General features: G+C 48.1%; 2 protein-coding genes across 3 annotated transcripts in view, besides 1 other annotated feature; both read right to left on the bottom strand.

Annotated features, from left to right (window-relative positions):
* Positions 1 to 8573, bottom strand: part of PARVB (parvin beta) — a 173729-nt gene extending 165156 nt beyond the window's left edge. For both annotated transcript variants that reach the window (NM_001003828.3, XM_024452236.2), the window contains exons 1-2: positions 8373 to 8573; positions 8111 to 8250 (exon numbers count right to left, since the gene is read on the bottom strand). In NM_001003828.3, the coding sequence (NP_001003828.1) occupies positions 8111 to 8250; positions 8373 to 8443 (211 nt within the window). In that variant the 5' untranslated portion in view covers positions 8444 to 8573. The remainder of the gene's footprint in view (positions 1 to 8110; positions 8251 to 8372) is intronic.
* Positions 11255 to 23405, bottom strand: part of SAMM50 (SAMM50 sorting and assembly machinery component) — a 41088-nt gene continuing 28937 nt past the window's right edge. Inside the window, exons 13-15 of the mRNA NM_015380.5 lie at positions 18527 to 18673; positions 17378 to 17519; positions 11255 to 11446 (exon numbers count right to left, since the gene is read on the bottom strand). Coding sequence (NP_056195.3) covers positions 11401 to 11446; positions 17378 to 17519; positions 18527 to 18673 — 335 coding nt within the window. The 3' untranslated portion in view covers positions 11255 to 11400. The remainder of the gene's footprint in view (positions 11447 to 17377; positions 17520 to 18526; positions 18674 to 23405) is intronic.
* Positions 11435 to 11604: an enhancer, noted in NCBI's record as "active region_19196". NCBI's record gives its function as "activates an Ori minimal core promoter by ATAC-STARR-seq in GM12878 lymphoblastoid cells {active_cell/tissue: GM12878}" and the evidence as "EXISTENCE:reporter gene assay evidence [ECO:0000049][PMID:35858748]".

The following is a 23405-nucleotide window of genomic DNA, read 5'->3' as shown; positions in this document are numbered from 1 at the left end:
AAAGAGTTCTGGAGATGGGTGGTGGTGATGGTTGCTCAACAGTGTAAATGGATTTAAGCCACGGAACTGTAGACCTCAAATGGTACATTTTATGTGCATTTTACCAAAAAAAAACTTTTTTAAAGCCTGTTGTCAAACCCACATAAATCAGGGCCTAAAACTAAAGGTAATTCAAAGTCTTGCCTTGGGGGATTGGAAAAGCCTCTAAAACTTTCTCGTGGAGAAGAGGAATCTACAGGAAGGAAGGAGATGGAGACTTCCCGCTGAGGAGCGCAGGAGGGAAGAAATGAGTCCAGAGGCTCCCAGAGGCAGAAGAGGGTGAACAGAGAGCCCGACCTTGGGAAAGAGAATAAAGGATGCTCTGGCCATGACCCACGACTGGAAATTCACATGAATCTCTGGCCTCCAGCGTGGGAGTGCAGAGCCTGATGCAGGCCCCATGCTAAACTGCAAAGCAGCACGGGAAAGGATGGGCTTCTCGGAGGAGACTCCACTCCCCCCAGCCCACCTTCCTCCCATAGGCGGAGCTGGGCACCCCCTCCCCATCTTTCCTGGGTACCCCCTGCTGACCTGTTCTTCCCCACTAGACCTGAAGTGTCATCTCCGCCCGCTGTACCCGCAAACGCAGCCTCGCACACACTAAGAGCTTGATCGCTGTCCCCCAAACGGTTGAATGAACGGAAGGTAGTGGCCACTGACAGTAGGTGGATGGTAACCATTGTGAAGCTTCCTATGGGTCCCTGGGATCTTTGTGCCTTTTGCATCCGCGCAGCAGAACTCACATGGATGGGAGCAGCTGATCTGGGGCTCCCCTCCTGCACTTGCCCAGGTGAAAGATTCAGCGATGAAGGTGATTTGCCCTCACACGGGGCATGACAGGGGGAGGTACTGCACACAAATAGAAGGAAATGTTAGGTAACAAAGCTTTGCTGTTACTAGCTTTCTGGCTGCCTGTCCAGGAGATCCTGCCACGTGGCAGGTGGGAGCTGAGTTACCTATGAGAGGAGAGGGCTGAAGGTATGGAAGTGTGCTGAGTTCAAACCTAGAGGGTGCTCCTCAATCCTGACTGCACACACAGGCCACCTGGGAATCTTGCAAAACCACAGGGTGGGCTGGGCAGGGCCTGGAACTCTGCATTTCTTTTTCTTTTTTTCTTTTCCGAGATGTAGTCTCGCTCTGTCACCAGGCTGTAGTGCAGTGGCACGATCTCGGCTCACTGCAACCTCTGCCTTCTGGGCTCAAGTGATTCCCCTGCCTCAGCCTCCCAAGTAGCTGGGACTACAGGCGCATGCCACCACGCCCGACTGATTTTCTGTATTTTAGTTAGAGACAGCGTTTCACTATTTTGGTTAGGATGGTCTCAATCTCCTGACCCCGTGATCTGCCCACCTTGGCCTCCCAAAGTGCTGGGATTACAGGCATGAGACACGGCATCTGGCCAGGACTCTGCATTTCTAATGTATCGTCAGATTCCTGCACTACACTTGGAGTGGCGTAAGATGCTAGGATATACACTATTGAAAGCATTCCATGGGCCTGGTGTGGTGCCTTGTGCCTGTAATCCCAGAGGGTTGGGAGGCTGAGGCTGAGGCAGGAGCATCACTTGAGCCCAGAAGTTCAAGACCATCCTGGGAAACATAGCAAGACCCTGCCTCTATAAAAAATACTTTTAAAATAGCTGGGCATGGTGGCATGCGCCTGTGGTCCCAGCTATTCCAGAGACTGAGGTGGGAGGATCCCTTGAGCCAGGGAGTTGAGACTGCAGTGAGCTATGATAGCGCTGTTACCAGTGGAGGGTCTTGATTATGAGTCTTGGCGTTTTGAACAAAGAATTGGGCAAAACGCACAAACAAAGAAACAATAGAATGAAGCAACGGAAGCACAGATATATTGAAACAGAAGTACACTCCTCAAAGTGGGAGCAGGCTCTAGCAGTGGCTGAGAGCCCTGGTTACAGAATTGTCTGGGGTTTAAATACCCTCTAGGTTGTTACTTGATTACAACCGATGTAAATGAAGAAGTGGCCTGCGACCAGTCTGATTGGTTGTGGGAGGGGACCAATCAGAGGAACTTCCCATTTTTCATCTGCCATGCAGTGGAAAGGTGGGAGGGTTGAGTAGCCTCTGATCCTTTCGTTACTTGGGTGTGGAGAGGTGGGGTTTTCCTTTTGATTCAGCTCTAGGAAATCAGTGCAAATCAGCCTTAGGTACCCTGCCTCCAGAACCCATTCTCCTGCCTCAGCACCACTGCACTCCAGCCTAGGTGACAGAGCAAGACCTTGTCTCTGAAAAAATTAAAGAAAAGAAAGAGAAAAGCATGTAACAGGAACTACAGTATGCTATTATTTGTGTAAAAAGAAAAAAAAAAAAACGGCCAGGCGTGGTACCTCATACATGTAATCTCAGCACTTTGGGAGTTCAAGGCAGGAGGACTGCTTGAGCCCAGGAGTTTGACACCAGCCTAGGCAATATAGCAACACCCTGTCTCTACAGAAAAAAAAAAAAAAAATAGAAAAAATTAGCTGGGCACGGTGGCACACGCCTATAGTCTCAGTTACTTGGGAGGCTGAAGCAGGATGATTGCTTAAGTCCAAGAGGTTGAAGCTGCAGTGAGCCGTGATTGTGCCACTGCACTCCAGCCTGGGTGACAGAGTGAAACCCTCTCTCAAAAATAAATAAATAAAACTATAAAATTTTTTTAATCATTGATTTTTAAAGAGCTGTTGTATTTTTCCCACCTTTATTGCAAAATAAAGATTTTCTGTTTTCAAGGCTCATAAGCAGGTCGGTCAGGAGTCTGTTGAGTACACAGCACTGTCCCTGAGAACCTTTTAAATCAATCATCCATTTTTAGAATCTTTTTGGAACAATGGCTCCTAATTCTCCTTAAAATGTACTTCAGGTGCTTAACCCTATTGCCTGTTCTGGCTTAGCCCAGAAGACAAAAGCAGTGCATGCTCACAAACCGGACGTTGTGTTGCAGGACAATCAAAGACTGGAGAGACGGAAAAGGTTCAGGAGAGTTTATTAAATTAAGGTGATCACCAGCTCAGCCGGACATAGGTCCAGAAAGTTTGAGCCCCGAACAAAGGGCTTTTTCTACTTGTAAACATCTTAAGGCAGGAACTACGTGAGGCGGGAAGCAAGTTACAGAAGCAAGAAACAAAGACAGCATTACATTTCTTATATCTTGAGAGAAACATGTCTTGCCACCTAAACTTATTGGTCTTGTGACCCTGCAGCCATGCTAGGGAGGTAAGCAGGAACTCGCTGGGCCTGTAACAAACTTTGAGGAATGTGGAGTTGGGGAGTATAGATAAGGTCCACTGTCCACAGAGAGAAGACAGACTGTTAATATTCTCTTTTAACTTGAGAGTAAGGGGGGGGTCACACTTTGCAGCAACTTTGAGAGGATTTTAAAATTTCTATTACTACTACTGTTAGGTTATAGTTGATTTTATTAATTCCTTCTTCAGTTGCGGGGAGCTCAAAAGGGTCCTCACTGACTTCGCGCGCGACCTGGAGCGCCTGCTCCTGCCCCAGCACCTCTGCCAGCAGGGGGTACCCAGGCTCCCTTTTCTGTGCCCATGGCTCTGCTACTTCGTGTCTGCTGTGATGTCTTTGGCAAACATCTAGTTTGATTGTTTTTTTCTCACTCAAGCTCAGAAAAGGTGGAACTTATTTTCTCTGACCAGAGAATGACATGCAGATGGATACACCCCTCTCCATCCTGTTCTAGAGGCTTCCATCCCAAGAGTGGGGAAGGGCCAGCACCTGGCAAAGTTCTCCAAACAGAACTAGGGGCTCCCTGGAGAAGGGGAGTGGCCAGCCCTGCAGAAGCCAGGCCCAGCAGCGGCAACTACAGGTCATTTGGAACAACTTCAGGGAAGGGGACATCGGAGGTAAGGGATGGGCAGACACAGGAGGCTGTGGGACCTCTGGGGCTAAAGAGGAGGGTAAACCTGACGGCAGTTGCCAGAAGAGCCACCTGTACAACACCCTGCACCTGGCCCAATGTCCATGTTGGAGGAACGAATAAGCGAACAAAGGAAGTGAGAATCCAAAGCCAGCTCCAACTCCTAAACACAGGCTCTTTCCACCCCAACACAAGGTTTCCTGCTCCCCACCCCTGGAAGAGCAGTTTTCAGACAGACAGGAAAGGCTAGGACCCTGGCCTGGGAGTGTGGGAATGGAAAGAAAGGGTCAGATTCCAGGGAGTCCAGTCCTGGCGTGGCTGCCGCAGCACATTATAACAGGGCTTAATCTCTCTGGGTTAAGGTTTGGTGATGAATCCTACTTAGCCTTTACTAGATACAGAACATCCCAGGAAATTCCATTCCACTTGATTTCTGCAGTCAGGTGGAATGGATGTCAAGTCAAGATGTCACCTTTCATCCCCAAGGCCACATCACAGTCTCTTTATGATGTTCTGGTATTTCCAGCAGTAGCTCTGCCCGCTCAGTATTTCAGGGAAATTACGTTTAGATGAACGGTAATTTCTGGCTATGATAATAAGATCAAAGCAATTGTATTTGGGTCTCTGACTCAATACAGGAAGGTCACCTTCTATTTCACAGTAACGGATGGATCCAGGCTGGCTATTATCTCAACCCTGCGAAGTCAGAATATTTTAATTGACCGGCACATCCATCTAGTGACAAATGTAGGGAATGCTTCATCCATTAGAAACTGATTGATTGAAAAGCACGGGGGAAGTACGGGGAAGAAAGGCTGTAATTTTCACAGTTGGTCAAACTTCACAGAATGTCCTTGCTTTTCAAAAATCATGACTATTTTTCTAACAAGATAATGCTGAATCTCCTTTTGCATGAATGTTTGTTGCTCTTAAAAGTTATCTAATGATTTGGCAAAGGAATCCAGTAATTTACTTGTCAGGAAGGCACTATGTATAAAGCTACAACTCTGGCACCGAGACGTGTGTGTCTGTGATTACCATTCGCCCCACTTTCGGGCAAAGCATTTTTCATTCTTGAAAACAGGCCAACTGGTTTGACCCCAGGAAGGCACGACTGAGACAGCCTCCCACGGTTCACTACGCAAACTGAAATCTGTATGTGTAAATGTAAAAACAGGCCTCACGTTTAATGCAGAATTTAATGCCAGTCCTTGCTCTTTACAGTGTTCTCCTGTGTACAGCCACGCAGGAAAGACATCCCTCCTACTAGAACCCACTGGGATTGGCAGGTTCTTACCCACCCCACGGAGCGCAGAGACCACGCACCCGCCTCTGCCCCTCCACCAACACCCACTGCCCCCTCCTGCCACTTCTGAGTTCCTACCACGTGCCAGGCACTTCGCTTTTGTTTCTCTCGATACTGATAGGCTCGACTACCCCATTTCACAAAGGATCTGCGGCAGGGAGGTGAATATGATTTACATCTGAAAATAAAAGGAGGGTGCTTAAGTCCCAGCTTAGCCCTTATGGGCATTCTCACAATTACTCTATTGCAAGTCACCTGGGGAGGACCCCGAAAGCTGAAAAAATTAGCTTTGGACAACGATAGATCAGTGGTTCCCGAAGCGTGGTCCACGGCCCCCTGGAGATCCTGAGACTCCTCCAGGGAGTCCATTGGGTTAAAACTATATTTATAATAATGCAAAGACATTACTTAGTTACTTGGTTCACTGGGTTGACATTTGCACTCACGATGCAAAAGCAGCTGTGGGTGAAAGTGCCTGCACCCTGGCAGAGAATGGCAGAGGCAACACACCCCTATGGCCATTGTATTCTTCGCCACTGTGCTTGGGGAGGGAAACACAAATGCCAGTTTCGCTCATGAATGAAGCAGCAAAATGCTCCCTGTCATTACATCTCAGCGCTTTTACCCTGTGTTCAAACATCCTAAGCAGAGAACACTTCTGCTGCTCACAGGGGCTCATATGTCTCAAGGAAAGCCCTGGGTGATTGGGTCCAGGCCTGAATTGCCGCTGTGTTCATGGAACATTGTTTTTCCCTGGAAGAGCGACTAACAAACTATGGTGATTCAGACGTGGGTATCTGGCAGACATTTCCTTGGAAATGGACAAAGTGAGCTTCAAGTGTTTGCTGCCAATGGTAAAATGCGGGCTTCAAGTGAAAACTGGAATTTTTGGAAACTTGGATCCAGCACCATGAGCTTGGCAGCTTCCCAATACCTCCCTAACTTCTAATGGTCCCACTTCCGATGTACTGACTTTTACAACAGCGTGAAATGGTTGCAATTTCTATGTCATGTACGGTATTCAACAAACTGCACAAGATCTTCAATACTTTCTTATAAAATAAGCTTTGTTTTAGATTTTTCCCAACTGTAGGCTAATATAAGTGTTCTGAGCATGTTCCAGGGAGGCTGGGCTAAGCCACGATGTCCAGTAGGTTAGGTGTACTTAATGCATTTTCAATTTACAATATTTTTGAATTACAACGGGTTTATCAAATGTAAGTCAACGAGCATCTGTACTTAGATTTTCCTGATCCAACGGGTGCTGATATTAATGAATGTGATCTTTTATTGATTGATTGATTGATTTTTCTGAGATGGAGTCTCGCTCTGTCACCCAGGCTGGAGTGCAGTGGCGTGATCTCGGCTCACTGCAAGCTCCGCCTCCCGGGTTCACGCCATTCTCCTGCCTCAGCCTCCTGAGTAGCTGGGACTACAGGCGCCCACCACCACGCCCAGCTAATTTTTTGTATTTTCAGTAGAGACAGGGTTTCACTGTGTTAGCCAGGCTTGTCTCGAACTCCTGACCTCAGGTGATCCGCCCACCTGGGCCTCCCAAAGTGCTGGGATTACAGGCATGGGCCACCGCACCTGGCCAAATGTGATCTTCTGTTTTGCATAATGAAGACATGTTGACATTTGGAAGATGTGCCTAATTCAGGGAACCAGTATTTTGCAAATGACTAGCATATGATGTTACAAAAGCATGCCTGGGTAAACAATCCAATCACAGTGCCAGGTAGACCAGGGGATCTTAATGGAACAGAGTGTGAAAAAGACATAGACGGGGTTTCAGATTCCACACTGCAACTAACCTTTCAAAACCGTTCATTAGTTGAGTTTTGGTGAAGTATCAAAGAATGTTCACAGTTATCTGAAAAGGCTACTAAAATACTCTCTTTTCCAAATACGTATCTATGTGAAAACACATTTTCTTCATATGCGTCAATCGAACAACTTCAAATGCAACAAACTGAATGCAGAACCAGATGCAAGAATCCCTCTGGTTTTGAAGACAGATATTAAAAGATCTGCAAAATTTTACAGGCGTGAGCCACCACGCCCGGCCTATTTCATCTGTATTTCTAAAAGTTATTTACTCAGGTTGGCCACTCTCCTCCACCTGGCTTTTCTTCACTGGGAAACAGGGGACTGTGCCTCATATTCACAGTGGCCCAGTATTTGAACCCACATGAGAACATGCTCAAGGTCATACGGCTGGTCAACCACAGAGCTGGGATTCACCTCCAGTCTGAATCACAATCAAAGAGCCACTGTTCAACTCCTTGTACATAATGTCCTCAGACAGGCAAAACAATCAATCTCTGGTGTTAAAAATCATCTAGCCTTTACCTTGGGGGTAGAAAGCCCTAGAAAGCTCATGAGTGGCATCCACTAAGAGTGGAATCTATTGCTGAATACACCAAGATCTTCTCCTTTGGTAGAAGAAAAACCTGAGGAAAGCAGTGAGTGGATTTGGTAAACAGCCCCAACAGGGCAAGAGCCAGGGCCCCTGACCCTGGGCTCACTGCTAGTCCACTTTCTTTCTTTTTTTTTGTGACAGGGTCTCGCTCTGTCACCCCAGCTGGAGTGCAGTGGTGCAATCACGGCTCACTGCAGCCTTAACCTCCTGGGCTCAAGTGATCCTCCCACCTAAGTCTCCCAAGTAGATGAGACCACAGATGCATGCCACCACACCCAGCTGTTTTTTTTTTTTTTTTTTTTTTTTCATATAGATGGGTTTTCACTATGTTGTGCAGAGTAGTCTCAAATTCCTGGGCTCAAGCAACAATCCTCCCTCCTCAGCCTCCCAAAGTGCTAGGGTTACAGGCATGAGCCACTGCACCCAGCCCTCATCCACTTTCTGACAGTTTTTCCCCCAAAACTTACCTCCTCCTTGAGCATATTCAGATGTTTCCACTCCTGATCTGTCTGAGCCAGGGAGAAGTGAACCAGCCAGAGAAGCCATGAGTGCCTGGGAGCACAGGCCCCAGCTGCAGGAACACCCACGTCTCAGCTCCAGCCTCCTGCTGCAGGTAGGAATGAACATTTTTTGTTTGTCGGATCCAGTTTCTCAAGAGAAGCTAGAAATTTGGACTTCTGAGTACAACCTGATTTTAACAACATTCGTTTTGTTTAAATCACAGCTCACCAGTTTTTGTTCTCTGGACTAAGGAATCCCCTTTTCTCTCCTCTTTGGTGATCTTTAAACACATGGTGCATTTGTGCACATCTAACTGTCCCAAAGGTAAATTTATCTGGTCTTTAAAAAGGGAGAATTCAGAAATTAAAATGAGTTCTTAGTTTAAGGAGCTGCCGGAGATGGGGAGGACGTCAAAGTGTAGGGCCTTTGCAGGAGTCACCCAATGGGAAAATGTGGCCTGATGGCAGATCCTCACCAGGTGACTGTCCTTTGTCCTAGTAGCGATGGCATTTGGCAGAACAGTCTGCTCCCTCACTGGGTCATAAGACTTGTAGACAGCAGCCAGGTACAAAAGAGCCTTGTGGCACAGTGTGGCAGGCACACCACTGATGAAACCGTTTGTTAAAGGTCACAGTGTGTGTACCGAGAGCACCGCAGATTCACGATAACAGAGGAGTGATCCATCACAGCTGTTCTTCCAGAAGCATTGTGAAGATTAGGTTCACTAAAATCAATCTTCTTGTTACAAATGGAAGATGACCGAGCCAGCAGGCTTCCGGCACGGAGCCGGCAGCATTCTTCAGCGGAAGCAGCCCACTGGTTTCATGGCCCATCCCTCGCCGAGTAAAGCAAGAGGTTAATTAAACAAATACCCAGCTCTCTTCCAGTCCAGAAAATTGAGGTATTTAGAGAAGAAACGGAGTAACATTAAGATGCAAAGAATCACTGAGCCAAGGGAGGATTTCATGGGGGATTTTGTGAGGCTTTCCATCTTTCTTTGCTCTCTGAGCTCTCTAAAATAGCAGCTATGAAATTCCTTCCCACAATGAACGTGCCTTATTTTTGGTCTTTTGTGGAAAGCACTTGATGAAGTGCCTCTGGCTTCACGCTCTAGTCTGCCCACTTACCACCTTCTGAGGATGAACAGAACCCGCATTTTCACCCAGGACCTCCACTGTTTTCACTTCACCTGTGGAGGAGCAGCCCGCGGAGTCCACCTGCAAATTAAACACGCTGCAGCCGCACGAGAGACAGCTGGCCCTGGTGAGCTTTCATTAAGGAGCTGGCTGTAGCGACCTGGGGTACCCCAGACTTGCTTGATTAAACAGGTAACTTTTCTCAGGTGACCCTTTCGCTGGGTTCTCCACTGATGTAGTAGATGATTTCTCAAAGATCATAGTGCTGAGTCTGTATTATTCAGATTTCACTGGTCTAAGTTGATGGTCTGATCATGACAGTGTTGAAACATGGGTTTCTGGTTTTCTCAAAGGCATAAGCGTGAAACTGTAAAGAATAAATCATTTAGGGGGAAAAAGCACATTTTTCCATGTTCCTAACTATTATAAGGAAGGCAAAACTCTTTTTTTTGAGACAGAGTCTCACTCTGTCGCCCAGGTTGGAGCGCAGTGGCGGGATCTCAGCTCACTGCAACCTCTGCCTCATGGGTTCAAGCGATTCTCCTGCCTCAGCCTCCCGAGTAGCTGGGACTACAGGCATCTGTCACCACGCCCAGCTAATTTTTCTATTTTTAGTAGAAGTGGGGTTTCACCATGTTGGCCAGGCTGGTCTTGAACTACTGGCCTCAAATGATCCACCCACCTCGGCCTCCCAAACTGCTGTGATTACAGGTGCAAGCCACCACGCCCAACCAAAACTGTCTCTTTTTATATATTCTCTGTAAAATCCCTGCAGCTTCTGCAGGTAATGAGGGCGAGACAGTCCCGGGGCACCTGAGAGTGTGGCCCAGGGATAACATGGGTCCCCAGACTGAGGCCCAAATCTTCAGGTCATTTGGCAAAGACATAAACAACAAGTTACGGGGAGGACTGAAAGTGACGGGGACTCAGCCCCAGCTGAGAGAGAGAAAAAATCGGAGAGTAATGCATGTGCGAAGCCCTGCGGGGCATCACCTGCAACACTAGACGTTTCCATATGGCACCACTTTTTCAATTCAAAGGAGGTTTCACGTTCTTCAAAAACTTTTTTTATGTGTGACCAATTTAAGATTATCCCCCAAATATTAGAGAGATACTAGTTGTGTGAGACAGAATAATGTCCCGCACTCCCACCCAGCCGAAGACGCACACCTCCTAATCCCTGGATCGTGTAAACGTGACGATAACATGACAAGGGGGCGCTAAGTCTGCAGACGGAATTAAGGACGCTCATCTGCTGACCTAGAAATAAGACCCCTGGATTCCCCGGGCAGATCCGAGGTCACCACAGGGGTCCTTCAAAGACAGCAGAGACGCAGAGGAGGCAAGAGGGAGAGATGGGGGACACCACATGGCTGGCTTTAAAGATGCAGGTGACGTCGGCCAAGGAATGTGGTGCCTCTCACTGCTGGCAAAGGAGGGGGATTTCCCCTTAGCGCCTCCAGGAGGACGCAGCCCAGCAAGACCCATTCTGGACTCTGATCTCCAGACTACAAGAGGATTAATGTGTGTTGTTTTAAGCCCCCACGTTTGTGGTGACTTAGAGCAGCCCCAGAAAACGCACACTCATTCATGCTGCCATTCGTCTGTAGACACCAGGCTCCGTCTTTGCTTCAGTGTCCCTAATGTTACACGGTTTGGGTATTTCTCCCTTGCCACTCACACACTCAAATGGCTCGAGCACTGTGGCTCCAAGCGCCCGCTGCCGTGGGCCTCCTCTGACAACGGCTGGTGCATCGAGGGGAGCGCGCCCTCTCCGTAACAGCATGGCTGAGCTTCCTCTGGGGCAAAGCTCCCTCCTGCTGCCTGGCTCTGAATACATCATGTCTGGTACACGGGAACCAAACACGGAGACTCGCAGACACTGGGCGGGTGTGTGAGAACACGGGTGGTCCCGGGGAAAGGCCACGCGGGCCATACTGTTGAGTGAAAGCAAACCACATCCACGCTGCCTCGGAGTGTGTCTTTAACATTTATTGACGGGGTTTCCCACAGGGTCCGCAGTCAAAGAATCGCTGAACCGCGTTTCCTCGAGAGACGGTGTGTGGCATGGGCGCCTTGCTGCTGCCCCAGTCCCAGAGCTTCTCCTGTAGGGGTGTCGGCTACAGGAACCTTATCCCAGCTCCAAACTGGACGCCATCACATATCCTAAAAAAAGGGGAGAGATCAGATGCGGCGGCCGCTCCGCCAGCCCTGCCATCTTCACGACTCACTGAGCATGCGCCTCTCAGAAGGTGCCGCCTCCGCTTCCTCCTCCTCCTGCTGCCTTCCTGCCTGGCTGCCGGCCTCACCCTCACCGGCCCCGGCTGCTTCCTCCTTTGCTGGTTAAGAACCTTCACCAGCTGGTTAAGCCCTCGGAGAATGGAAAAGGGAAAGAAGGAGAGACCCAAATCCTCCTGCACTACTCCCTCCTCACCTCCTTCACGTTCCCCTCTCCGGACGGAGAGGACAGAGGGCCGATGAGAGGCGGAGCAGGGAGGGAAGGAGCCGGAAGGACAAGGTGGGTAGTGAGGATGGAGGAGAGGCAGGTGGACAGAACTTAAGGTCCGCCCGGCCCCCAGAAGGTCCCGGGGCTTAGGAAACCAGCAGTACCCACAGCCCTACAGGGGTTTAGCCTGACCACCTCTTAGACCTGCTCCTGACCCCAGGAAGGAAGGATGCAAAGGTCACATTGGTTGCCATATCTGTTATGAGCTGACCTTCTGCAGGTGTGACTCCACACAGTGGTTAAGAACCTGGGAACAAACCACCAGACCCATTTTCAGAGAGGAGCAAAGAGGCTCCAGTCACACGGCTGAGAAGTGGCAGGACAGGACTCCAGACCCGGCTCAGGGGCACCCACAGGCCTTGTTCTTTCCGACACACTGCCATGCACAGCTGGGGGGCAGCCTGTCCCCCTGACAGCATGCCTGCAGCAGCTCTGTCCGCCTGGAGCCTGTGCATGGGGCAAGGCCAATGCTGCCCATTTGGGACAAGGTGGGCCTAACCTAGGGACCTCAACTTCTGGGGAAAATGATATTCAGACTCCTACACAGCCGCAGCCGGGGCCAGGGAACACAGCCTTTTTGCAAGCTGTGGGCAATTTCTAGAAAAGGCCAGCAAGAATGGCTCCTTTATTCACGACGCCCGTGCCCTTGCCCAAGCTGAGGATTTGGAGCACATGCACACCGGCGGCAAGTTTTCCTTTTCCAACCTGACTCTGAGCAAGAAGACACAATATCTGATCCACGAAGAGATTCAACACAGATACTCACAAATGCTGCGCCGGCCTCCTGCAGGATGAAGGGTGCTTATTAACCAGCCCCGGCACTGCAGTCCTCTCACCAGAAGCCAGGACTGCAGCCCCTTCAAGATTACAGTAAGCCACATCCATGGCCTTAAAACACCAGAATCCACATCAAAACCCGGGCTGCATTTGTACCATTTAGTTGTGTTCAGATCTGTTTTTAGATTGTACACTCTCAGCTCCTTCAAACTAGTCTATACCTACATTCGCTACTTAGAAAAATGCCTGAACATAAGCTAGGAGCTAAAAAGGAAGTCAAGCTCTTGGCATATGTAATTCAGAAAACAAGCAAGCATTCTAATAAAGGCCTGTCACTCTAAGTACAAACAAACAGATTAAACAACTTCACAAGCATAGGTTTATGCTCAGAGACCACATAAACATGTCACAGAACAAAATACCCACTGCAAACATTCAAAGCAGCGCTGCGAAGTTCCACCAGACCAGGGGCAAGCCAGCCTTGGCATCCTCCAGACAGCCCCAAACATCCACCTTCTGCTGTGCACCCCACGCTCTCTCCCTCCCTCACGGCCGCTGTCTTGGTGCAGGGCTCCTGGTCATCTCCCACCTTCTTCTCACCCAGCACTGCCACTGCCGGCACAGGGTCTTGGAGTCTGATGTTCAAAGGCTTCTGACGAACTTGGACTCTGAGGCTGGAGGCCAGGAAGCACCCAGCATGGGGTGCTTTAGGAAGGTCATGCCAACAGCACCCTTGGCGCCTTGCACCCCACCTCCCACCACACGCCAGGAGCCTCTCCACCTGGCTCTCACTTCCAACACCAGGTGCAGTTGTAGTCATGGGGACCTCAGCGGTGAACAAGGCAGATGAAGTCCTGAGCTCAAAGACCCTGGCATATACCCAAGGGGAAAAAGGTCAGCGGGGCTGGAAGGCAAAGGCGTGGGAGCTCAGGGCCTGGACCTCCCCACTCCCCCTTCTGTTCCTGTAGGACGCGGTTCTGCCCGGTGCCCGCCGACAGCGCACACCTGCACAGCTTTGCTCCTGCCTTTGTTAGCCAGGACCACTGTCCCTGCGTGTCTTCTGCAAGCACCTGGCTGTCTGTCCTCTAGGAAGATTCAGCTCAGGGACCTGCTCCAGGGGGCCCTCTCAGCACCCTCCCCAACAACCAAGATGATCCACTTTCTTGTCTTCCTGCTGCTAACTGTGAGCTGCTCTCCCAAGCGAGCCTGCCTGATTCAGCCCTGTGTCTCCAGAGACCGGACTCCTAAGACACAAACTGACAGAATGCTGTTAGATCCCAGAGACAGTGGTGCCACAAATCACTTGCGACATAACAGTAAGCAAACATCTCAAAACTGTTTCCTTCTTTGTGAATGTCTGAAGTCCTATTTACAGTGTGCCTGCCTCAGTTATGGGGGAAACCTGTGGATAATTTCTACACACACGATACCCCATCCTGCCAGCTACCAAATTTTAGAAATGAAGATTAAATCTGGCAACCTCACTCCAACTTCACGAAATTCCAATATTGATGACCAACCTCAAACAAGGCCTCACACTGAGCGAAAATGTCTTCCACACTCGGGGTGCCAGGCTGACCCCGTTCAGAGCTCACTGTCCATAATAAACATCTGAACAGCTGCCACCTGGCCTGGGGGCAGAGGCACTTCCTTATAGCCTGGTCTTTAAATGTCACGTGCTTAGGATGCTGCTTCCTCCCGGAATAAACCATATTTTGAAATTAATCTCTGAAACGTGTTTTTTAGATTTAACCTGAAGAGACGGAAGTAAAGCTGAAAGGTAAATGTAACCACTTCATATGAAAATTATTTCAGAAAGGGTCAATTCAACAGAGCTCCTAAAAGCCGCGTTGACTTCTCAGGGCACACTGACACCCAGTGGCTACAAAGAGCACTGCAATGGTGGTGATGGCAGCGTGGGCTGCCCAGACCCTCCCTGCCCGAGACGTGCACAGTGGCGGGTCCCAGAGCAGCAGGGACTGTGTCAGAGAGCGGTATCTAAAGCTTCCCTCGCTCCAACGCCCCTCCAGCCCCGGGCCTGCAGTCAACCACTCAAAACCACCCACTTAAGCTAGGTGTTGGTGCAGCAGCGTCACAGCGCCTCTGGGGCTACCTGCAAGGATTCAAATGAGAACCTGGCTGTTAGGCCAGGGAGCCCAACACTCCCAACTGCAGAGGGAATAAGGGCTTCATAGAAAGAAACTTGCAAAACCAGCCTGGTCTGCTGAAGACAGTAACGGCGTGGAGTTATCTGATGCAGTCTCGCTCTGGAAAAAGGTGCCCACTTTTTCACTTTATTATCTCCAAAATCAGGATGCATCATCCCATCTATGGCTTGTCACAAACTGTTAGCTGAGATGATGTGGAGGGGGAGGGGCAACACCTCCCACAGGAACCTGTTCCCTTGTGTGAGGGGCTGGCCACGCCGGGTGTATCAGCAGCAGAGCAGCCCAGGAAAAATAACCACTTCCCAACCCCAGGCCAGGCGGTGCGCCAAGGGCTCTGCATGCAGTAACTCACTGAGTTCTCCAAACTGCAACAGTCACCATCATGATCGTCCATCCTCTGGGCATGAAAATGGACACCCAGAGAGGTTTTGTGACTCACCCCGGGCCACACAGTCACACAGAGTGGCCAAGCTGGGCCCCAAGCCCGGGTAGCTGGGCCCCCAGGCACACATGCATGCAGCCTGCGTGACTACACCCTTTCCAGCTTGGGCTTTGTGTGGAGAACAGGAGAGGCGTGGAGGGGAATGGGAGCTGGCGGTTGTGGGAGCAGCCGCCGCCATCTCTGAAGGCCCTGTCATCAGTAGGGAGCCGCAGCAGCCTGGCAGCCCCTGCCGTGTCCCCAGACGCGGAGCAGATGCTGAAGGGCCTTCTGGCAAGAGTGTAAGGAGCAGATTCCGCTGAAGCAATAACCGTAAAGGACCTGAATGACAGACGCAGACTGCACCTGAGAGGCGATGCTCAGAAACACTTGCGAATGCGGCTCCCCTTTACAAAGCACCATCCCCTACATGCTGATGCGGAAGACGGAGAGAGTAAAAATGATACAGCATTTCCTTCAACTGGCACAAACTACAACCTATTTGAAACCGGGTTAAGCCTCCAACAGCACCACCATTTGGTGGCAACATAAAGGTAGACACAAAAATGAAGAGAAAAAACAGGCTGGGGTGCTGTGAATGCATATACAAAAATAAGAGACAGTATGAACACTGTTGTGGACTGAACATTCATGTCCCCACAAGATTCACATGCTGAAGCCCTAACCCTGACAGGATGGTGTTGATACCTGGAGGCAGGCCTTTGGGAGGTGCTGAGGTGCAGACGAGGTAACGAAGATGGGGCCCTCGTGATGGAATTAGGGGCCGCATAAGAAGAGGCATCGGGGCACTGGCCTGCACTCTTCCTCCTCCAAGTGAGGACACAGTGGCAAGGCTGCCATCTGCGAGCCAAGAAGAGAACCCAACAGCAACCAAATCTGCCAGCACCCTGATCTTGGACTTTCCAACCTCCAGAACTGGCAGAGTATGAACATCTGTTGTTTAAGTCACTCTTAAATACTCCATGGTATTTTGTGATGGCAGCCTGAGCTGACCGAGATACACTATAATGAAAACACGTCTGAATCTCTTAAAATTTACACAACGCAGCTGGGTGCGGTGGCTCATACCTGTAATCCCAGTACTTTGGGAGGCCAATGCGGGCAGATGGCTTGAGCCCAGGAATTCAAGACCAGCCTGGGTGGGCAATGTGGTAAAACCCTGTCTCTACAAAAAATACAAAAATTAGCCTGGTGTGTAGTCCCAGCTACTTGGGAGGCTGAGGCAGGGGGATCACTTGAGCCCAGGAGGTCAAGGCTGCAGTGAGCCATGGTCAGGCCATTGTACTCCAGCTGGGTGACAGAGAAAGACCGAGTCTCAAAAAAAAAAAAAAAAAAAAATGCCGGGCGTGGTGGCTCATGCCTATAATCCCAGCACTTTGGGAGGCTGAGGCAGGCAGATCACGAGGTCAGGAGTTTGACACCACCCTGACCAACATGGTGAAACCCTGTCTCTACTAAATATACAAAAAATTAGCCGGGTGTGGTGACGCATGCCTGTAATCCCAACTACTCAGGAGGCTGAGGCAGGAGAATCTCTTGAACCTGGGAGGCAGAGGTTGCAGTGAGCCAAGATCGTGCTATTGCACACCAGCCTGGGCGACAGAATGAGAGTCTGTCTCAAAAAAAAAAAAAATTTTACACAATGCATGTAAGAAATAGAATTTGTTTATATAACTGTGTAACTAGCCCTATACCATATTCACCCATGTAACATTTAGGGAATCTTTCCTCAATAAAATAAGGGGTGAAGAAAAGCCAAGAAGGTGGGTTCCTCTGCTGTAGAGAGAGGGGTTCTCAAGATCGTGTCCTCTGTGGTCAGGAACAAAGCTTCACTCACCCCAACTTTCCTAGAGACCCTGGCCTGCAAAGTCAACTGCTCAAAACACTGCCTTCTGTTTTCAGCACACAGGAACCAAATCACCTGTCAATTCCTCCAGCCAGACCCTGGCAGGGGCTCCCACTACCCTGGGAACAATAAGCACAAAGCACCTGAGGGAGGGGGTGGGAACGCTTCACACCTGCTCCTCCCAGCTAGATGGAGAAAAACGCAAAGGAGGAAAATACATGTGTTTTCATTATTTTGCAACTATTTAATTCTCTTAAAATCTTCAAGCTTAAAAGCCACTAATGAAATTAACCACGTCCAAAACAAAATAAAATTACTGGAGAGTGGGATGTGATTGTGGAAAATAATTCCCAACACGTACCTGTCGCCTGTCTGTACTCCCATGGGGACGCAGTAATTAAGTTCCAACCGAGCGATGTTGCCAAGCCTGAGGACAATCCCGGCCCCGTACGACCAGCGGATGCACTCAGCCAGCTTACGAATATGAGCTTTGGGGCCCTCCCCTGAAAAGAGAAAGACCTGTGAGCAACAGTGCGTGCCCGTCCTTCCAAGCTCTCCCAGCTCTCCCAGACAAGCCCTGGCTCCCCCTGGCTGGGCCCTGCAGTTGTTTTTAAAGCCAGGCCTAGAGATTAGGGAGGATGCATGAAGTGAGATTAGGACCCAGGTCAAGAGAGGACTTGGAGCCACACTTACTCACATCCAGAATGAGCCACGCCTTCTCAATTCTTTGGGCCTGGCATATTCTGTTCCCTCTGCTTAGAATGACTTTTCCCCATCCCCTGACCACCTGGGAAGCCCCACTCTGAGTCTCAGCTTGGAGACTTCCATGCCTTCTAGGAAGCTTTCCAGGCACCCCTAGCACCCAGGCATCTGCTGGGAGTCTCTTCTGGACCTGAACTCCCTGAGGAAGGCACCCAATCCTACTCAGCTCTGTGGCCATCATGACTTGTTTATTAAATAGACAAACAGATTTTTCTTCGTAAGGGCATTAGATGATTATTTTTCTTGTATGCTTCATTCGCTCAACCAACCACTTAATGCTGGGCATTATGTTAGCTGTTGTAAGAATTTTTTTCAAGTAAGGCACAGTCTCTAACTTTAATGACTATGTAATCTAAAAAGACAGACATGGCCTGGCACGGTGGCTCACACCTGTAATCCCAGCACTTTGGGAATCCAAGGGGGGTGTGGATCACGAGGTCAAGAGATCGAGACCATCCTGGCCAACATGGTGAAATCTCGTCTCTACTAAAAATACAAAAAATTAGCCGGGCGTGATGGCACGCGCCTGTAGTCCCAGCTACTCGGGAGGCTGAGGCAAGAGAGTCACTTGAACCCAGAAGGTGGAGGTTGCAGTGAGCCGAGATTGCGCCACTGCACTCCAGCCTGGCAATAGAGCGAGACTCCATCTCAAAAAAAAAAAAAAAAGACAGACACCTCTTTGTGTACTGTGCTTTTAAACATGAAAACAACTGTACTACAATGGTTTCTTGAATAGCGCAAGTTTTACCATAGTTGAGGTTGCAGAGGTTTCCTGCGTTGAGAAAGAAGTGTGTTCGGAAAAGTTCTCCAAAGCCACCCTGGCCTGGCCGGAAAGGTAATGGGGTGTAGAGGTGCAGGCCGCCGGCCCAGTACGCTTCTCCACCTAGGTAGTCTCCTAAGCAAAGGAGGGGTGCAGAACAAAAACAAGGTCCGACAAGGTTAACATCACGTTAACTTTCCACAACTTACAGAAGCAAGATTTCTGTCCTGTAAACAACGCCACACAGTGCTGGAGTTTGCAAGCAGCTGTTCTTCTCATTCCTGATACTGATGGCCTCATTTTAAATAATCTTTCTTTTTCTCCTGGTTTGTTTCACACCTTGATTTAACTGAGGAGGCAAACAAAGCCAATGTCGTTGAGGAAGGAATGCACTCTGTCATTCATCGTATCTGTGAAATGCTTTGAAGAAATGAGTCTCATGACAATAACTTTATCCACAAATGTAGATGACCAACTCACTTCCACCTGCAAATGAAATGCATTATTTTGCCAAATTTTCGAGAGCGCAATAGAGACAAAATGCAGAAAGCGTCTCTGCAGTGTGTGGAGACAGCTGCACATGATTAATCAAAAGGCAGAGGCTGCCTGCCACCCACTGCACAGCGAGACCAGGTTCCAGCTCAGTGTCTCCAGAGAAGAGACAATTCTCAACGGTTCATGACCGCTTGGATTTAGGTTACTTTTGCCAAAGTGTAAGCCTATCCACTGAGAGCATGTATTTGCATATTTCTAAAAACGTTCCTGTCCATTCCATTTTAAACTATAAAGCAACAGAAAACATACAACCCAAAGGTTTATACTTTGTTGCAAAATACCATTTATACAGTGTCTTACTCTCCTCTAATACAAAATGACAGACCATGAAATGGGAAAATACTGATGTCTTCAAGACTAACTTCAAGGAATGAACTGCTGATTCATTTAAAGACTTCAGTTCCTCACAATCCAGAGGAAGGAAAAAAAAGACACCAACATCTCCTTAATCCCTTTCAACACGAGAGCTCTGATGGGAACAGAGAATGAACAAATTGCAGGAGAACAACCTTGTTTTTTGTTTCCCAGAAACCACTCCTCCTCTCTCTTCTTAAATAACTGATTTTATTCTGAACATAAAAGTTAAATATACTCATTGTAGAACATCTGATCAACATAAAGAGAAAAAAATGAAAATATTTTAATTTCTACCATTCAGAAATAAACAGCTAACATCCTGATGTCCTTTCTTCCAGTGGATTATAATGTAAATGTAAAACCAAATAAGCAAGCCAATAAAATGTGGTGCTTGCTTGCTCTCTCTCTCTCTGTGTGTGTATATATATATATATACACAGTTTCCAGTCCTACTTTTTTTCAGTTTTAATATATTGTAAACACTTTCTCCTAACGCTTTATCTTCCTTGAAAATGGGGTTTTTATGCCTGAAAAACAACATAGGTGGACCAATATTTAATGATCTATTTCTCTTCTATTGTCATACTGGTTTCTAAGTCCTTTATCATGGACATTAACCTATGATGAGTTTCCTGGCACAAACATGTATTTTTTTAAGCTTTTATTGTGCATACCCATAGGAAAGTATACACATCCTAAGTGTACAGCTCAATGAATTTCTATATCTGAAACACATCTGCCCAGAGAGCACCAGGACCAAGAAACCAAGCACACCCCACATCAGACCTTGCCTTCCCTTCTAACCACCACCTGGTGCCCATACCACATGCAGCCACTGCCCCACCCTCTCACAGCACAGGCCACTTCACCTGCTTCCAAGCTTTATAAATGGGATCTTCCAGGAGGCATTCCTCTGGGTCTAGCTTTTCCTCCCGACATGTTTCTGAGATTTACTCATGCCATCATTCAGCCAGTGGCTGTAACTTGTTCTTCCTCATTACAGTAGAAGATACCATAATTATCTGACCATTTCCTACTGTTGATGGGCATTTCGGTTTCCAGTTTCCAGCTTGGGGCTATCATTAATAGTATTATTAACAATTCTTGAACATACACATTTTAAGGCTCTTGATACATCAAACCACTTTCACAAAAAAATTATAGCAATTTACATTCTTGCCCACAGAGTCTGGCCAACCGCACGGAGGTGGTGAGTGGAACACCAGCATGCCTTACTTCTCAGGTAGGTAAAGGCTCAGCTCTCATAGACTCGGCATATCACACTTGCTTATAATAAACAGATGAAATAAAACCATCAAAAACTTAAGTTACTTTTCTTAAAAATTACACTGTAATGAAGCACTCTAAATACGAGTGAAAAGAAATAATCTATACTTTCGACAAAAATTTATGCAGAGTGTAGTTGTTGCTTATAATGACATAAAAATGGAAGCAACAAAGGTGCTGAAGATTTTAAGAAATCCTGGGTGCAGTGACTCACGCCTGTAATATGAGCACTTTGGGGGGCCAAGGCGGGCAGATCACCTGAAGTCAGGAGTTCAAGACCAGCCTGGCCAACACGGCGAAACCCCATCTCTATTAAAAAATACAAAAATTAGCTGGGCGTGATGGCGGGCACCTGTAATCCCAGCTATTCAGGAGGTTGAGGCAGGGGGAATCGCTTGAACCTGGGAGGCAGAGGTTGCAGTCAGCTGAGATCACGCCACTGCACTCCAGCCTGGGCAACAGAGCGAGACTCCGTCTCAAAAAAAAAAAAAGTAAGAAAATCAGGGGAGAATGTTTAATAATGGAATAATATGCATCCACTTAAATGATGTTTTAAAGTTCCATAGCATGTGGAGATACCTCTGACGGATGTTGCATGTCAGAGACGGTTCTAGGAGTATAAATGAGACAACCTTCCCAGAAAGTACGATAAAGCCCTAAAAGATCTGGCGATTTCACATCTAGAATTTCATATTAAAGTAAAACTTGGCCAGGCGTGCTGGCTCACACCTGTAATCCCAGCACTTTGGGAGGCCAAGGCGGGCAAATCACGAGGTCAGGAGTTTGAGATCAGCCTGGCCAACATGGAGAAACCCCGTCTCTAATAAAAATAGAAAAATTAGCCGGGCATGGTGGCGGGCACCTGTAATCATGCTACTCAGGAGGATGAGGCAGGAGAATCACTTGAACCTGGGAGGTGGAGGTTGCAGTGAGCTGAGATTGCGCCAATGCACTCCAGTCTGGGCAACAGAGCAAGACTCCATCTCAAAAAAAAAAAAAAAAAGAAAGAAAGAAAAAATAAATAAATAAATAAAACTTACAGATGAGTACCAACATTCAGTTCGAAGGTGAATACATTGTTTTATAATCATAAAAGAAAAAAAAAAACACAAACTCAATGTCCAAAGCTTGGGATTTGGTCTTTAAAAAGATAATAGTGTGTCATAAGACAAAACACGCAGCCATTAAGATGATAAACTTTCTCTCTCTCATTCCTCACTGGGGAAATGCAAAAGGACGCGGCCACCCCGGAAGCTCGCCTGGCAGCTCCTTACAAAGGGGAGGCGTGCTCTTAACACGTGACCAAACAACTGCGCTCCCCGGCACTGACTCAGCAGATGTGACAACTTATGTCCCAGAAGCTGTCCACAACAACCTGCGCGTGAATGTTGATAGAAGCTTTACTCATCACTGCCAAACACTAGAAGCAACCAAGCTGTCCTTCGGCAGCTGAATGGACAAACAAACTGTGGTACTTCCAGACAAAGGAATATTATTCAGCAATAAGAAGAAACAAGTTATTGGGTCCCAGAAAGACATGGAGGGACCTTAAGTGCATATTACTACGGAAAAGAAGACAACTTGAAAAGGCTACAAACTGTATGATCCCAACTCCCAAACTGTCTGGAAAAGGCAAAACTCCATGGATAGTTCAAAGACCTGTCGTTTCCAGTGGTCTGGTGGGAGGGATGAAGGGAGCCCAGCATTTTTAGCGCAGTGAAGCCACTTTGTGTGATCCTGGAATGGTGAATGCAGGACATCATGCATTTGTCAAAGCCCACAGAAGGTACAACACTAAGAGTGAACCCTCATGTAAACTATGGCCTTGAGTTAATAAGGTTATCATATTGCTTCACCAATCCTAACCAATGAAGCATCCTAACACAAGGTGCTAATAATAAGGAAGCTATGGGGGTTATACGGGAACACTGTACTTTTTGCCCAACTTTTCTGTAAACCTAAAACTGCTCTAACAAATTAAGCCTATTAACTAAAATATAGGATGTCAATAATATGAAATATGTACCTGTTAAAAATGGCATTTACTCGCATAAAAATATACTGTTACATTTTTATGGGAGGTGATGAGAGAAATGGGTTTAAAAATAATACGTAGGGGCCAGGCGCAGTGGCTCACATCTGTAATCCCAGCACTTTAGAAGGCCAAGGCCGGTGGATCACGAGGTCAGGAGTTCAAGACCAGTCTGGCCAACATAATGAAACCCCGTCTCTACTAAAAATACACAAAAAGTTAGCCAGGCGTGGTGGTGTGTGCCTGTAATCCCAGCTACTCAGGGGGCTGAGGCAGGAGAATCGTGTGAACCCGGGAGGCGGAGGTTGCAGTGAGCCGAGATCGTGCCACTGCACTCCAGCCTGGGCGACAGAGCGAGACTCTGTCTCAAAATAATAATGATAATATTAATAATAATACATAGGGGTCGGGCCCAGTGGCTCACACCTGTAATCCCAGCACTTTGGGAGGCTGAGGCAGGCGGATCACGAGGTCAGGAGTTTGAGACCAGCCTGGCCAACATGGTAAAACCCCATCTCTACTAAAAATACAAAAATTAGCTAGGCATGGTGGCGGGTGCCTGTAATCCCAGCTACTTGGGAGGCTGAGGCAGGAGAATCATTTGAACCCAGGAGGCGGAGGTTGCGGTGAGCCGAG

This window comes from Homo sapiens, chromosome 22 (assembly GCF_000001405.40).
Source record: "Homo sapiens chromosome 22, GRCh38.p14 Primary Assembly".
NCBI classification, from domain to species: Eukaryota; Metazoa; Chordata; class Mammalia; order Primates; family Hominidae; genus Homo; species Homo sapiens.
This window is presented reverse-complemented; position numbering and strand designations above follow the sequence as displayed.